Genomic DNA, 17,356 nt, shown 5'->3' on the forward strand with positions numbered 1-17,356 from the left:
GAACTGAGTGTGGGACCGATGTAGTATTAGAAATCAGTGAGGTGATCACCACCTTCCCAATCAGGGCTGGACCAACTGGCAAGCCACATGGCAAAATAGAAAATTAAATTTCGACTTCATCCCTAACACGAAAGAAATTCGTGCTGGAATAAAGAACTAAATATGAAAAAGAAAACTTTAAAACTTTTAAAGAAAAAAATAAGTATCTTTATGACTTTGAAGCAAGGAAGAATTTCTCAGCCAAGACAGAAGAAGCAAAAACTCATAAAAATATTGATGAATATCACAACATTAAAATTTAAAACTTCTGTGGCTGAGCACAGTGGCTTATGCCTATAATCCCAGCACTTCGGGAGGCTGAGGCAGGTAGATGGCTTGAGCCCAGGAGTTTGACACTAGCCTAGGCAACATGGCGAAAACCCGTCTCTACCAAAAATAGAAAAATTAGTCAGGCATGGTGGTGTGCTCCTGCAGTCCCAGCTACTAGGGAGTCTGAGGTGGGAGGATCGATTGAGCCTGGGAGGTCAAGGCTGCAGTGAAGTGAGATCACTGTCTGCCATCCTGGGTGACAAAAAAAAAGAGAGAGAGAGAGAATGAAGGAAAGAAGGAACGAGGGAAGGAAGGAAGGAAGGAAGGGAGGGAGGGAGGGAGGGGAAAAAAGAAAAGAAAAAAGAAAGAAAGAGAGAAAGGAAGGAAAGAAGAAAGAAAGAAGAGAGAAAGAAAGAGAAAGAAAAAAGAAAGAAAAAGAAAGAAAGAAAAAGAAAGTAAGTTTTTAAATGACAAAAATACCAACAAAAAAAGACAAATCATTGGCTGGAAGGTGACATTTCTAGGATATATATCCATCAAAGACCTGTATCTGGAATACATAAAGAAACATATATTGAGGGCCAGGCCGTGACTCACGCCTGTAATCCCAGCACTTTGGGACACTGAGGCTGGCGGATCACAAGGTCAGGAGATCGAGACCACCCTGGCTAACATGGTGAAACCCCGTCTGTACTAAAAATACAAAAAATTAGCTGGGTGTGGTGGCGGGCACCTGTAGTCCCAGCTACTCGGGAGGCTTAGGCAGGAGAATGGCGTGAACCCAGGAGGCGGAGCTTGCAGTGAGCCGAGATTGCACCACTGCACTTCAGCCTGGGTGACAGAGCAAGACTCTGTCTTAAAAAAAAAAAAAAAAGAAATACATATTGAGAAAAATACAACTCAGTAGAAAAACACAAAGGATCAGAATGAGAAGTTAGTAGAAAATGAAATCCGGATGATCAGTAAATGTAAAAGGTTCTTGAACTCACTAGCATAAACTGTGAAAGTGACAGAGGATAAGGTGCCATTCCATACCCAACAGACTGGCAGAGAGTGAGAGGCAGATCACACTGATAATTGGGAAGGACTTCAGGGAAGAGGGACTTTGACACAGTGTGAAAAGCCCGTTTGCAACATCAAGTGAAGTTATAGACGGGCATGTCCTGACTCAGCAACTCCATTTCTAAATGTATACTCTAGAGCCACGCTTCCCAGCACAGTCAACACCAGCCACATAGAACTTGAGCACTTGAAACATGGCCAGTCCAAATTATGAGACACACACTGGATTTGAAGACTTGGTCTGCAAGAAATAATGTAAACTATTTTATTAATTTTTATATTGTTCATATCTTGAAATAGATATATTAGATATATTGGGTTAAATATAGCATCAAAATTAATTTCAACAGTTTCTTTTTTTACCAGTTTCTTTTTGCTTTTTTTTTTTTTTTTTGAGAAAGAGTTTCACTCTTGTTGCTCAGGCTGGGGTGCAATGGCGCCATCTCAGCTCACTGCGACCTACGCCTCCTGGGTTCAAGCGATTCTCCTGCCTCAGCCTCCCAAGTAGCTGGGATTACAGGCATGCGCCACCACACCAGCTAATTTTGTATTTTTAGTAGAAATGGGGTTTCTCCATGTTGGTCAGGCTGGTCTTGAACTCCTGACTTCAGGTGATCCGCCCGTCTCGGCCTCCCAAAGTACTGGGATTATAGACATGAGCCACCACACCTGGCCTCTTTTTGCATTTTCTAATGTAGCTACTAGAAAATTAAAAATTACATATATGATCTGCATTTGTGGTTTTATTATATTTCTATTGGCCGAAGCTGCTATAGAGAATTCTGGCCATTGTACACAAAGACATGTCCAAAATTTAATTGTGGATTGTTTGAAATAGGAAAAATTTGGAAGCATTTGGGCCCACGGACAGGAAAATGATAAGAAACACATCGCTAGAGGATTTATACAGCTAATGAAACATATGTAAAAGTGAAAAGAGAAAAAAATAATGTGTACAATTAAAAACAAAGTAATTCAATGAGTCACTTAAAGATAGAGAGGAAAGGACTCATATAGAATAAAAGTATAAAAACATGGATGGAAGGGATTTGTGAGCGCTTCAAGAAAGTGATTAGCTCTGGGGAAGAAAAAAGATTAGGGTGGGTGGTACACAGAGAACTTCAATGCATCAGTAGTGGCTTATTTTTTTAAGCAACTTGGTTGGGCACAGTGGCTCATACCTGTAACCTCAGCACTTTGGGAAGCTGACGCAGGCAGATCCCTCGAGCCCAGGAGTTCAAGAGCAGCCTGACAAACATGCCAAAACCCAGTCTCTACAAAAAAAAAAAAAAAAAAAAAATACAAAAACTAGCCAGGCGTGGTGGCACAGGCCTGTAGTCCCAGCTACTCCAGAGAATGAGGTGCGAGGATCACTTGAGTCTGGGAAGCAGAGGTTGCAGTGAGGCGACATTGCGCCACTACATTCTGGCCTGGGCAATAGAATGAGACCCTGTCTCAACAACAACAAACAACAACAACAACAACAAAAACCCAAATACTCTCTCAACTTCATGTACTTGTGAGTGTAGAAAGACATAAGACAGATATTCTTCAGTTATATCATTGATAACCACTAATTTTTAAACAAATTTCCAATGATTGCTTGCTATAAAAATGTAAAATGGTATATATATTATTCACCCTGTAATTTTGGTTTATTTTCTTTTAGACTTTTTTCCAATGTATATTTTTTGGAACAGTTTTAATATGTTTACTTATCATTTACCCTGACTTTTTGAAACCTAGTGTTGTAAATGTTACTTATGTTTACATAGCAAAAAAAAAATCTATATGGTCTAGGCAAATATGGCAAAGCATCAACATTTATCAAATATTTGTCAAATATGGGTGGTGGCCACATGTTATTTGTTATGTTTTTCTCTGAATTTTTGTGGGTTTAAAATAGTTCATAATTTTAAAAAAGAAACAGGTCATGAAGAGTGCTATACTGATGTGAAGGAATTTGAACTTTATTCTATTGGCCAATATTTGGAAGCCATTGAAGAATTTTAAACAGGGGATGAGATTTCCATGTTGAGAGAGCATTTGTATTCTGACAGTCTCATTTTAGGCCCATCAAGTCCACCAGCTAGTAAAAGTCAAGAACAGAAATCACCATATTTCATTGCTTCTGGCCACTTTGTTTCACATTTTAACAATTCCGGAATTGGAATGCATCTCGTTGGCCACACAACAGTCGTGGCATTGTTGTCATTGCAGAATGGGTGTCAGCTGCTTCGATAGAAGTCCTGGGGACAATAGTGGGGAACTCTGACATGCTGCATCACCAGTGTGCTTCATGGCACCGTGGATGACATCACGTGGGGAAAGTGACATCTGCCACTCAGAATCAAAAAGTGATTTGGAAGAGGCAAGTTTGATACGTGAAGGAGCTTTGGAAAAGCATTAACTCATTTCGTTGGCCTGTGTTTTCTTTTATATACATGCATAAGAGTGAAAAATTTTTTCTTAATTTTTTAAAATTATGGTAAAATACACATAAAATGTACCGTCTTAACCATTACCAAGCGTACAGTTCAGTGGCATTAAGTGTAGTCACACTGTTGTGTAACCATCACCACCATCCAGCTCCAGATCTTTCTCATCTTGTAAAACTAAACCTCTGCATCCATTAAGCAATAACTGCCCATTCCCCTCTTCCTCCAGTCCCTGGCAACCACATTCTAACTTTCCTTTTTTTTTTTTTTTTTTCTCTGAGATAGAGACTCACTCTATCGCCCAGGCTGGAGTGCAATGACACTGTGTCAGCTCACTGCAACCTTCATCTCCTGAGTTCAAGCAATTCTCCTGCCTCAGCCTTGCTAGTAGCTGGGATTACAGGCACTCACCACCACACCTGGCTAATTTTTTTAAAAATATTTTCAGTAGAGACGGGGTTTCACCATGTTGGCCAGGCTGGTCTCGAACTCCTGACCTCAGTGTGATCTGCCCACCTCAGCCTCCCAAAGTGCTGGTATTACAGGCATGAGCCACTGCACCCGGCCCCCTAACTTTCTATCTCTATGAATTTGCCTACTCTAGGTACCTCAGTTAGGTGGAATCATACAATACCTGTTCCTCTGTGCCTGTCTTATTTCACTTAGCATCATGTTCTCAAGGTTCATCTACACTGTAGCATGTGTCAGAATTTCTTTCCTTTGTAAGGCTGAAAAATACTTGAATGTATGTACCACATTTTGCTTATCCATTTATCCATGAATAAACACCTGGGTTTGCTTCTGCCTTTTGGCTCTTGTGAATAATGCTGCTATGAATATGGGTGTACAAATATCTCTTTGAGACCCTGGTTTCAATTCTTTTGGGTATATACCCAGAAGTGGAATTGCAGGATCATATGAATCATATCTATTTTTAATTTTTGAGAAACTGTCAGACTGTTTTTCATTATGGCTCTGCCATTTTACATTCCCCCCAACAGTGCACAGATCCCAATTTCTCCATATCCTCACCAACACTTTTTTCTTTTTTTTAAAAAAATAGTATCCATCTGTATTAGTCTGTTCTCACATTGCTAATAAAGACATACCAGAGAGTGGGTAATTGATAAAGGAAAGAGGTTTAATGGACTCACAGTTCCACATGGCTGAGGAGGCCTCACAATCATGGCAGAAGGAGAATGGGGAATAAAGTCACGTCTTACATGGCAGCAGGCAAGAGAGCTTGTGCAGGGAAACTCCAATTTATAAAACCATCAAATCTCGTGAGACTTATTCACTACCACCAGAACAGTATGGAAGAAACTGCCCCCATGATTCTATTATCTCCACCTGGCCCTGCCCTTGACACCTGGGGATTATTACAATTCCAGGTGAGATTTGGGTGGGGACACAACCAAACCATATTATTATCTTAATGGGCATGAGGTGATATTTCATTGTGGTTTTGATTTACATTTCCTTAATGGTTAATGATACTGAATATTTTTTCATGTGCTTATTGGTCATTTGTATAGCCTCTTTGGAGAAATGTTTATTCAAGTCTTTTGCCCATTTTTTAAATCAAGATGTTTGGTTTTTTGTGGAATGATTTTTTAAATCTATGTTTAAGCCTAAAAGAGTGTTTTCAACAAATATAAAACAAATATTCTAAGAGAAAAGGAAGCATTATATCACAGGTTAAGTGGAAGGTTTTTTTTTTCCTTCTTAGTGGTACATAAAATAACATTAAAACTTACAATTAATAGCATTTTATTTTATTTTATTTTATTTATTTTATTTTATTTTTTTTTATTTTTTGAGATGGAGTCTCACTCTGTCACCCAGGCTGGAGTGCAGTGGCGTGATCTCAGCTCGCTGCAACCTCCACCTCCCAGATTCAAGCAAGTCTCCTGCCTCAGCCTCCCTAGTAGTTGGGACTACAGGCACATGCTACCACGCCTGGCTAATTTTTGTATTTTTAGTAGAGATGAGGTTTCACCATGTTGGCCAGGCCAGTCTTGAGCTCCTGACCTCAAGTGATCTGTCTACCTCAGCCTCCCAAAGCTCTGGGATTACAGGCATGAGCCACCATGCCTGGCCATTAATAGCATTTTAGATTCAATTAAATAATGGTTATAATGAGAGGATGATTTAATGAACTATTGTCAAATGGACTGAGATAATTTTTAAATATTTATATAAATGAAAGAATGTTGAACACATAAGAATGTAAGACTTAAAATATATTTAAATAAGAAATTATTTTGAATCCAAATATGATATCAAATGAATTAGAATAGTTGAAATTTAGGTAGGAATAAACAGTTATAATTTCACTTCAGCAAGTAGAAGTTTGGGATAATGTCAAAAACTGAAGCAAAAAGGAGACAGTGCATCAGTATGCATTTGCTCTAAAGATTTTTTAAAATTCTATCATCCTTCATAGGAAAAGAAGGAGGGGGTTCACTACCTCTTTAGTGAAAGACGACCACATACATTCCCAATTGATTCTTCACTTTTCACCCCAAATAGTCAAATTATATCTAGTCGACCTAGCCTATTTTTTTGTTGTCATTTTTTGTTTTTCTTTTTCTTTCTTTCTTTCTTTCTTTCTTTTTTTTTTTTTTTTTTTTTTTTTGAGACAGAGTCTTACTCTGTTACCCAGGCTGGAGCGCAGTGGCACCATCTCAGCTCACTACTACCTCTGCCTCCTGAGTTCAAGCGATTCTCCTGGCTCAGCCTCCCAAGTAGCTGGGATTACAGGTGTGTGCCACCACACCCAGCTAATTTTTGTATCTTTAGTAGAGACGAGTTTTCACCACGTTGGCCAGGCTGGTCTTCTGACCTCAAGTGATCCACCTGCCTCAGCCTCCCAAAGTGCTGGGATTACAGGCATGAGCCACCTTGCCCAGCCCTAGTCTATTGTTATTGCAGAAAACTGTTAGACTGACCCCCTGTATTTTTCTACTCCTTTGTCACAGATGCCTGAAATTTCTTTCACTGAATAAAAAGGTTCTTGGTTCATGATAAGAGATAACACTTAAAATACAATTGCCTGGTCACCGTCATCACTTATAATGGTCAGAGTCCTTAGTTGCAGACAAAAGGGTCCACTCTAGCTTAGATTAGGCAGAAAGGGATTTATTGAAAAATATTTGACAACACCAGAATCTCCAGGAGAACTAGCCAACTAGGCTGTGTGTTCATATAGTCACTACAATGAAACCAGAAAAAAAGTGCCTAGTTCCTGTTCTAGTGAAAATGCTTCTGCCTCCACTGCCTGCCAACTGTGATGTCACAAACTTGGCCTTGACTGCTTGGGAAGACCTGACTCCTCTGCTGCTGTGCTTGCTGGAAGGCCCAGTTCTTCTACAGAGGGATCGTCCTGTAGTTTGCTTCTACATTCAGGGCTTACAGGGGTGCATATGATTGGGAGGTTCGAGGTCACATGTGTGCATCATAGCTGCATAGGAGTCTAGAAAAGATCATATTACATACTCTCACCTCTATGACATAGGCAGGCAAATCCTATAGGGATTGAAACAGGAATGTGAGTTGAGTTGGCAAACTTAACAATAGCTGCCAAACTCCTGGACTGAAACACAAGCTAAAATATAAACAATGAATCAAGAAGTATAAATAGGCTGGGCACGATGGCTCACGCCTGTAATCCCAACACTCTGGGAGGCTGAGGTGGGAGGTTCACTTGAGCCCCGGAGTTTGAGATCAGCCTGGGCAAAATAGTGAGACCCTGTCTCTACAAAAATAAATTAGATGGGTGTGGTGGTCCCAGCTACTAGGGAGGCTGAGGTAGGAGGATCACTTGGACCTGGGAAGTTAAGGCTGCAACCATGGCACTCCAGTCTTCACAATAGAGCAAGACTCCGTCTCAAATAAAAATAAAAAAGAAGAGGAAGAAGAAAAGGAAGAGGAAGAAGAAGGAGGAGGAGGAGGAGAGGTTGGAGGGGGGAAGGGGAGGAAGAGGAGGAGGAGAAAGGAGGAGAAGGAGGAGAAGAGAAGGAGGAGAAGGAGGAGGAGAAGGAGAAGAAGAAGGCATAAATATAATAGTGAACTTTATATCTTTCTCAACTTCAATAAGACAGGGTCCCAAGAAGAGACTAGGGTTTCTTGGATATCTGAAGTGAAGGAAGCATCAACCTTAGAGGAAGAAAAGGAACCAGACAAAGCAGGGGACTAAGGCTGGAATAGACAAAACCTCCCCATTCATCATTTGTTATAGGAGAGCCTGTTACCTTTAGCAAGATAGGACAAATAGGAGTTGTTATCCATTCTAAATCCAAGCTCTGCTGGGTCTGCATTATGAAGTTTTCCCCCAGTTCTTAAGGGAGAAAGTTTACTTATACATTGACTTCATTCCCAAAGGATTCATTGAATGAATCACACAAGGACTACAGTATATAAACTTGTTATTAGGTTAATGTAAAAGTAATTGTGGTTTTTGGCAATAAAAATGGCAAAAACCACAATTACTTTTGCTCCAACCTAATACATTAGACACTTATAGCTCAAGAGATGTTTTTTCCCTAAAGATCTCTGATAATTTACAATATTTGGGCTCCATGAAGCCAAGTATCAAAGACATTTGTAGACGTCACCACACACCCCACCACCTTCAAGACCTGTGGCATGACTTGGCCTCCAGAGAGATAGCTGACAACTTTAAGGCAACTTCAAAGAGGCACAATTTACATGTAATAAAATGCTCCATGTTAAGTGTACAGTTTTGATACATGCATACACCCATGTGATCACCACCACACTTAAGAACAGTCAGCATAGGCTTTTAAAAAGAGGAGCCTAGGGCAACCCACTTGGGTCCCCTTCCATGCTGTGGAAGCTTTGTTCTTTCGCCCTTCGCGGTAAATCTTGTTGCTTCTCACTCTTTGGATCCGCGCTGCCTTTAAGAGCTGAAAAAAAAAGATGAGCCTAACAAGCAAGTATTTGTAATGTGTCTTCTCCATATTCCCAGCCAGTGTATAAAATAGATTCATTTGGCATGGATATTAGGTTTAGTGGGGAGGAATGCACACTGCCATCACAGAAATGCCACCCACTCATTCCCGTTGCTCCGTTCTTGCTTGGCAAGTTATCTCCTGACTGCGGTTGGCTTCCCTTATGGCCATCTTGGACTTCCTCAAAGCATGGTGGCTTCAAGGCAGCAAGACTTTCTGTGTGGTAGCTCAGTCTTCCAAGAGCAAGAATTCCAAGAGGCCCAACCAGAGCTGCAATGCTTCTTATGACCGAGCATTGAAAGTCACTTCCGCTGCATTCTGCAGGTCAAGCAAGTCACTGGGACCAGCAAGGGGAGGGGTATGAGACCTCCCCTCTTAATGGGTAGAGTTGCATGTGTATACAACAGAAACTATCATGGAGCTGTATTTGGAGATTCTCTACAACAATAGGCCATAAAATGGCTTAAAGACTTTTTGGACAGAGCAGTGAACAGACGCTAAGGATATGGGGTTCAGGCTCTGCCAGGCTTGCTCAGGTGACACTCGCTGATCCCATAGAACACATCGGGGTTTCCTCTCTCCAGTCGCTTGGGGTCAAATGTGAATGAGGTGCATACAAATGGGGAGAGCCCTGTGAGCCTGAAGGAGGAGCCCCGGGCCTCACCACTGTTCTTAATTGTGGTGGTGATCACATGGGTGTATGCATTTATCAAAACTGTACACTTAACATAGAGCATTTTATGACATGTAAATTGTGCCTCTATGAAGTTGACTTAAAGGGGTCAGCTCCCCCACCAAATCAGTGTGGGCATTTCCCACAGGAACTTGGTGTGCCACAGCAGAAAGTCTCAGAATTGGTCTGGTGACAGCAGCATGAGCTGTGGATGAGAAAGCCACCATGAGAGCAGGGCCTGGGCTTCCTCTGACTTCAGCCCTCTGAGGCCACCTGCTGCCTGGGACCCATCTGTTCCCTGCCCTGAGGGCTACTGTTGGAGACGTTCTGCTAAGGCTGAGTAGAGAGGCCTCAGCCAGGCTGGATATTGAGACTAAAGTTGAAAAGGAGGATTCGATTCTGGAATAAACAAATTGGAAAGAAGAATTCTCTGAAGACTCCAGGGTGAGATTCCAGAGGCCTGTGTATTTGGGGAAGCCCGAGAAGCAGAGAACAGAGGAGCAGAGCTGTTGGAACAGCCTACAGGCGAGCAAATGGGGAGAAATGAAAAGACACCAGGCAGGCCCCAGCAAAAGAAAAGAAATGTCTCCCAGGAGAGAGGCCAGAACCGTCTGGAGCTCGGGGAAGTTGTCCGCCACAGCCCCAGCCTGGCCGCCGCAGCAGGAATCTCTATGCATGTGCCGAAGGTGGCACCAGGGGGTGCACACGGGGGAGGAGCCCTTCATCTGCAGCACATGCAGCAAGGCCTTCAGTCAGCACTCCAGCCTCACTGTGCACCAGGTGTGCACACAGCGTGAAGCCATCCATGTGCCCTGAGTGCAGCAAGACCTCAGCCACAGACAGCTCTTGCCTCCTGATGCACCAGAGGAGCCACACAGGCAAGAGGCCCTGTGAGTGCTCTGAATGCGGCAAGGCTTTCACCCGCAGCTCTGACCTCCTGGTGCCCCAGGGGACGCACGGTGGGGAGAAACCCCATCGCTGCACCCAGTGCTCAGTGTGGGAAGGCCTTTGGCCAGAGCTCCCACCTCATCTTTCACCAGACCACTCATGCCTGGAGGAAACACCAGCTGGTTTTCCTGAGCAGATCCTAGTGTTGATGCCCCAGGGCTTCAGGTCCAACACTGAATCCAAGTAAGAGCAAGCTGAGCCTTTGTCAGCAACCTAGCTCCGTGCCAGGAGCTGTGGAACAAGGCTGGGGCAGGCTCCCCCAGGGTCTTTGGAGAGACAAGATACACGCACATGTAAACATACACAAGTGACCAAATGCACCAGGTGACAAGACAGGATAAAGTGCTGAAGCATGTGAGAGATGGCAAGATTGGCCTGGAGGGGGTGCTGAGGCGAGGCCTCACTGGGCTGGTTCTGGGAGAATGGCTTGGCACCAGGTTGAGGGGAGGCAACCTGGGGAGGGGACCAAGCTAAGCACAAGGAAGACTCCATGTGGGCCCCAGTGAAAGGAGAGACTGAATACGGAGTCTCAAGTCAGGCTTGAGATGCACATGGGGAAGTGGAGGGTTCAGGTCCGAAGCCCTGGTGTGTGAGAGCTACAACCAAATCCACAGTCCCGCCCACACTACTGGGTTTCCTGTGCCAGGGTGACCCGAGGTGAGCCATTGAGCATCACTGTCACAGCTGTCCAGGGCAAAACAGATGTTGTGTGCTCTGATTCAATGCCCTGGGTCCTCCACTGACACTGCCACAAGCAAGCTTGCAGCCCCAGGAGCAGTGGCACGGCTCTGCCTGCTTCCCACTCTCCAAATCTCTTACAAGCACATCTGGTTAGTAGGACCTACCTAGAGCACACCAGAACCCTAGCTGCAAGGGAGTCTAGGAAACGTAGTGATTTGCTTTCCATGCTCTGCAGTATAGCTAGACATACCAGAAGGGGCTGGAATGGATGTGGAGTACCATTCTACCATATCCACCACAGAAATCTACAGTACTAGTCCTGGAATACACTTGAGAAGGATTGTTCTCAACAGAGAATGAGGGGTAAATTCTGTGACTTTGAAGCACTAAAATCTACCTCACTGAATTCTGTCCTTAGGGACCCATCCCTTCAACTCCCCAGCAGAGGCCAATCCAGGGTCTTCCATTAACATGGGGAAGCACACTTTCTGCAGGCATAAACACACCAAGGCAAATCTCGGTGGGTTTACCTTACCTTACACAGAGAAGGCCCATAAAATCTCCTGCATTTGCTACCACTGGGACTTGGCTATCCTTGAACTTTTCATTTCGATGAATTGCTTTTCTAAATGTGCTATATGTGCTGCTCAAGTGAGCACAGGGAATTTTTTTCCTAATTTTGCCTCCTTTTTAAAGGGTCACCATGCCCCTCTGTCCTCCTGACTTTCCCCGTTACCATGTGCTTTAATAGCTCAGCATGTACTTGTGTTACCAACACAAGATTTATTCAGGCCCCAGTTCTTTATTTGTAACAGCTTTTAAGCCTCCTCCTCCTTTTCCTCAGCAAAAAAACAAGGAAACCAAGCAGCTACCAATCCTGACAGCTTTTATCCAATACTCAAGCATTCGTCCACTCTCGATATTCCTGTCACTAACGGCTGTGTCATCAGCGGACTTCTTCGGCGACAATCAGATCTTGATGGATCACACTGGCAAAAACACATTAAAGAAGATCGCATTAATTCCAGCCCCAAATCCAAGCAGATAAGGATGATATGACTCAAGAACTCACCCTAAGTGACAGAAACTGAACTCCTCCTAAGGAAAGACTCTTTAGCATTCAGCAGCCGAGATTTCAAGTCTAACTGCTTTTGGTGGTAGTTTCATATGTGTATTTCAAAAATCACCTGGAAATCTCCAGCTCCTTAAGGCGGCTCCCTTTAAATCTTTTTGAATGACATGGTGTTGTCAATTGCCTCCTTCTACTGACATCTTCCATGTCCTCAGGCCAGTCCAGCCACTGACACAGACTAATATTTGGTGACAGATGGTTCCGTGAGCTTCTGGGAAGGCCATATCTCACTTTTGGAATGCGAGTGATAGCTGAGTTCCTCCAGAGCCTTATTTATTACACTATTACTACACACAAACTCATTAGATGTAAAACCCTCTGCCAGTCAACTTGATCCTGCTCTTCCCCAGCTGTCCCACTGGCAGCCCAAAGATGATGACACATGATGACACTGACAGACAGCCCGACTGCCATCTTCTGCCTTCCTAAAGTTAAAGCCGGGCATTACTCAAGCGAGGGGATGTGCCAGGGAAAAAAGCTAGAAAGCCTCTCTGGAGCACCCTGCGGTTTAATCACCACAGTAGTTCATGAAATGGTGTACACAGGGTGCCACTGGCCAAGCCTTCCTGGCATTTGCGAGCACACTCATTGCCACTGTATGAAATCAACCGAAATCGGATGCATCTCTCCCTCCAGTCCCCTGGGAATGCTGTCAGTCTTGCCTCCTGGTCCCAATTCTCACCGAGGACCAGTCTTTCTCTCTGTTCAGATATACCTGCATCTAGTCTCAATGCACACACATTTCTCATTGGGATTTTTGCAGCAACATAAGAAGTAGCACTTTATTTATTCACACATTCAACAGGAGCATCACTGGGGAATACTTGCTGTGATCCAGCCACCATGCCAGGCTGGATACATGGAGAAATGAGTTTGGCATGATCCCTGACTTCAAGGACTTCATTGTCTTGTAGGGAAAAACCAGATCATCTCAAGGTGAATTGTTTAGGGCAATGTCTCAGCTGCTGTGACAAACAGGCCCCAAAATACAGTGGCTCAGAGAACAGGGAAGTTCATTTTGCTCTCATTCGTTAACAGCCTCCAGCTTGGCAGGTGGCTCTGCTCCGCACGTTCTGAAGCCCTTCCATTTCATTCCATTTCATCCCTCCACCAACCCCAGGGGACCATCCTGGTCTGCATGGCCAAGCAAGTTCCAGGCACTGGAGAAGGGAGAGAGTGTGGAAGTCCTAGGAAAGAGATGTCCTTTTAAGGAGGGCCATGGGAATTTCTCCAGTTCCATGGGTGAATGCTTGGCTACTTGGCCACACCTAGCCATGGGGTAGGTCAGGAAACATTCACCACCTGGGCAGCCATATTCTCAGGAAGAAGAGCAATGTGAATTTTGGTGGAAAACTGGCAGTCTTTGTCACACAATGCTATGTGCTAAATATTGACGGGAACAGCTCAGGAGAGGCCAGACCATGCAATGGTTAAACAGTCTGGTTCAGGAGTTGGACAAATCTACATTCAAATCGCAGTACTCAACACAGTGTCATATACATAGTAAGTACCCAACAGTTATTAGCTGACAGCATTGTTTTTACTATTCCATGGAAACGCACTTGGATCGGATAGACTGCCTATGAGTGGTTCCTGTTAGGCTTAGATAAGGAAGTAAGCTTTGGGCTGAGTCTCGAAGGTCCAGCAAGAGTTCAGCTCGTGCACAATTGGGGGTTCAGTCATTCTGGGCATGGGTGTGCCAAGGGAAGTGTGTGACCAGGATATTATTTTTACCTGTGAGCAGTGAGAATTTTCTCATACCAAGGGAGCTCATATTAGGCTCCTGAGGTTCACATTCTCACCTTGTAATAACATTGAACCTCAGCAAATCCCCTTGGGAGGATGAGAGAGAAGAGAGACCATCAACATACATCATGAGAATCAGTGAGCAGGAACGTGCTGAAACTGAGGACAGACAGTAGAAAACCCAGGACTATGATCTAATGAGAAACTCATCCTCCATGTCTTGGAGGATAAGAATCCAAACTGGAGTCTTTATAATCCTAAAGTCTCAAATGATAGTCTTTTTTAAAAAGTGTGCACTGCAGTCAGATAGGTTTGGCAAGTGCTTTACTTTTTTAACTTTTGTTTTAGAATTAAGATATTTTATTTTAGAATTTAGAATTAAAATATTTTATTTTAGAATTAAAATACATGGGTAAATTGCATGTCCTGGGGGTTTGGCGTACAGATTATTTTGTCACCGAGGTAATAAGCGTAGTACCCAATAGGTAGTTTTTCAATCCTCTCCCTCCTCCCACCCTCCACCATCACGTAGGCCCTAGTATCTGTTGTTCCCTTCTTTGTTACCATGTGTACTCAACATTTAGCTCCCACTTATAAGTGAGAACGTGCAGTATTTGGTTTTCTGTTCCTGCATTTGTTTTTTTGGGATAATGGCTTCCAGCTCCATCCATGTTGCTTCAAAGGACATGATCTCGTTCTTTGCTATTGTGAATAGTGCTGCGATGAACATACGTGTTCATGTGTCTTTATGGTAGAATGATTTATATTCCTTTGGGTATATATCCAATAATGGGATTGCTGGGTCGAATGGCAGTTCTAAGTTCTTTGAGAAATTGCCACACTGCTTTCCACATGGCTGAACTAACTTACATTTCCACCAGCAGTGTCTAAGTGTTCCCTTTTCTCCACAACCTCTCCATTTTTTGACTTTCTAATAATCGTCATTTTGACTGGTGTGAGATGGTATCACATTGTGGTTTTGATTTGAATTTCTCTAATGATTAGTGGTGTAGAGCATTTTTTCGTATGCTCGTTGTCTGCATGTACGTCTTCTTTTGAAAAGCGTTCATGTCCTTTGCCCAGTTTTTGATGGGGTTCTTTGTTTTCTGATTGTTAATAAGTTCCCTGTAGATGATGGATAATAGGCTTTTGTTGGATGCATAGTTTGCAAATACTGTCTCCCATTCTGTAGGTTGTCTGTTTACTCTGTTGATAGTTCTTTTGGCTGCGCAGACGCTCTTTAGTTTAATTAAGTCCCAGTTGTCAATTTTTGTTTTTGTTGCAATTGCTTTTGGCATTTTCATCAGGAAACTTTTGCCGGGGCCTATGTTCACAATGATATTTTCTAGGATATCTTCCAGAGTGTTTATAGATTTAGGTTTTACATTTAACTCTTTAATCCATCTTGGGTTGATTTTTGTTTATGGTGTAAGGAAGGAATCCAGTTTCCATCTTCTGCATGTGGCCAGCCAGTTATCCCAGCATTATTTATTGAATAGGGAGTCCTTTCTTTATTATACCCCCAACGTGTGCGAGCTTCTTAAATTCTTGGAGTAGTCCTGTAATAAGGAAACTCTTGTTTTCCCCATTTTTCATTGAACGGTTTGATCACTGCATTCAACTGAGGTGCCTTGATGTGGCCAATGAGCAAATAATTTTGAGACACGGTCTTATCAAGTACCCTGTTCCTGTGGATGTTGGCCTACGGTAAATTTCCACTAACCATAGCTCCTTATCCCTGTGTGTGGTAAGCTGTCTGTTTAGTGACCCCCAACCCCCATAAGCCTCTCCTTGTATCTAATTCCTTTGAAGCTGGCTTGGCTCTGTGACTGTGGCAGAAGTGACATAGCACTGGTTCTAGGCCTAAGCCCTGTGAAGTTCTGGCAGCTTCTATTTTTGCACTTTAGGGGAAGCCAGCTGTCACGTAAGAAGGCCAACTACTCCGAGACAACCATGCTGTGAGGAAGCCCAAGCTCACCACATGGAGAGGACATGTGGAGAGAACCCAGGAACCCAGGCAACAGCAAGTGACTCCTTTCAGCCCCCAGCACTGGAGCACCAGAGGTGATGCCACAGGACCAGAGAGGAGCACCTGCCCGAAGCGCAGACTTGGAGCAAAGAAGCAATTGTTGTTTTTTATGCTCCATGTTCTGGGCTGCTCTATTACACAGCAATAGATATTCAGAACTGCGTTTTCCATCTGGCTGAGTGGAGTCCTGAGCAGACCAGCTAGGTCCCCTGATGCCTTCACCCTCCTTTCCTCTGTGGTCACTTCTTTCCTTATGGCCTAAGTCCCCCAGCCAGCATCTCCAAAGAACAAGGATGGCCCCTCCCTAGTCACAACACTATCATCGCATGAAGACCATTGACACTAACTCAAGAATGCCATCCAATATATAGTCCATTCACATTTCCCAGTTTGTACAAACATCTTCTATTCTAGCATATTTTTTTTAACTCAAGGAGCTACTTAAGGCTTCCTCATTGCATTTGGCTTTCATGAATGTGAAGAATTCCTGAAAGGCATTTATTTCACTAAAGAAAAAAGATCCTCACTAGAAGTCAGCTGGGAGTAGTGACTCATACCTGTAATTTCAGCACTTTAGGAGGCAGAAGTGGGAGGACTGCTTGAGCCCAGGAGTTTCAGACCAGCATGGCCAACATAGTGAAACCTCATCTCTACTAAAAATACAAAAATTAGCCAGGCATGGTATCATATGCCTGTAATCCCAGCTACTCAGGAGGCTGAAGTGGGAGGATTGCTTGGGCCAAGGAGGTTGAGGCTGCAGTGGCTGTGATAGTGCCACTGTACTCCAGCCGGGGTGACAGAGCCAGACCTTGTCTCATGGTGTGATTATTACCTGGGCAACTCTTTGCTCCTTTCTGAACTGGGAACAACACCTGTTCTACCTATTTCTCAGGTTATAAGTTTCAGTAAAAGTCATTTACTTGTGGCGAACACTATTCTAACTGTTCTTGTCTATTTTAAAATGTGCTTTCACAGAAACTGTTTTCATTTCTGGTCACACATACACACCTGGTGTGCTCACTGTTTGGCATATTGGCTTCTTCATGGGCCTCATCCACATTCTCACTTTATTTCTTGATGGCTCATGTATTTCTCTGTATAGTAATTCCATGCTGTGCCTTTCTCCTGTGGAAACGTCTGGTTCCTTCAGTGGACCTTTTCTGGGTAGAGATGCATCACTCTGCAGGGTGTTGCTTAGAAGGAGTGAGACCTGGAGTGGGAGAAGGGAAGAGGAAAGTAAAACAGTTTTTGCAGCGCAGTATCAGGAGAGAGGGATAGTAACTCAACACAGGCCTTTCCTGCCCCTGTTGGTGGAAGAGGCAGTAGGACATTTCCAGAAACCCAGAGGAGTCCAGGATATGTGAG

The 17,356-nt window shown here is 43.5% G+C and overlaps 1 pseudogene, besides 5 other annotated features; it reads left to right on the forward strand.

The window, feature by feature from the left end:
- Positions 6,957–7,006: an enhancer, noted in NCBI's record as "active region_17620". NCBI's record gives its function as "activates an Ori minimal core promoter by ATAC-STARR-seq in GM12878 lymphoblastoid cells {active_cell/tissue: GM12878}" and the evidence as "EXISTENCE:reporter gene assay evidence [ECO:0000049][PMID:35858748]".
- Positions 9,651–9,700: a silencer, noted in NCBI's record as "silent region_12714". NCBI's record gives its function as "represses an Ori minimal core promoter by ATAC-STARR-seq in GM12878 lymphoblastoid cells {active_cell/tissue: GM12878}" and the evidence as "EXISTENCE:reporter gene assay evidence [ECO:0000049][PMID:35858748]".
- On the forward strand, positions 10,146–10,507 carry ZNF877P (zinc finger protein 877, pseudogene; annotated as a pseudogene).
- Positions 16,862–16,911: an enhancer, noted in NCBI's record as "active region_17621". NCBI's record gives its function as "activates an Ori minimal core promoter by ATAC-STARR-seq in GM12878 lymphoblastoid cells {active_cell/tissue: GM12878}" and the evidence as "EXISTENCE:reporter gene assay evidence [ECO:0000049][PMID:35858748]".
- Positions 16,922–16,971: an enhancer, noted in NCBI's record as "active region_17622". NCBI's record gives its function as "activates an Ori minimal core promoter by ATAC-STARR-seq in GM12878 lymphoblastoid cells {active_cell/tissue: GM12878}" and the evidence as "EXISTENCE:reporter gene assay evidence [ECO:0000049][PMID:35858748]".
- Positions 17,032–17,081: an enhancer, noted in NCBI's record as "active region_17623". NCBI's record gives its function as "activates an Ori minimal core promoter by ATAC-STARR-seq in GM12878 lymphoblastoid cells {active_cell/tissue: GM12878}" and the evidence as "EXISTENCE:reporter gene assay evidence [ECO:0000049][PMID:35858748]".

This window comes from Homo sapiens, chromosome 20, assembly GCF_000001405.40.
Source record: "Homo sapiens chromosome 20, GRCh38.p14 Primary Assembly".
In the NCBI taxonomy this organism is placed as follows: domain Eukaryota; kingdom Metazoa; phylum Chordata; class Mammalia; order Primates; family Hominidae; genus Homo; species Homo sapiens.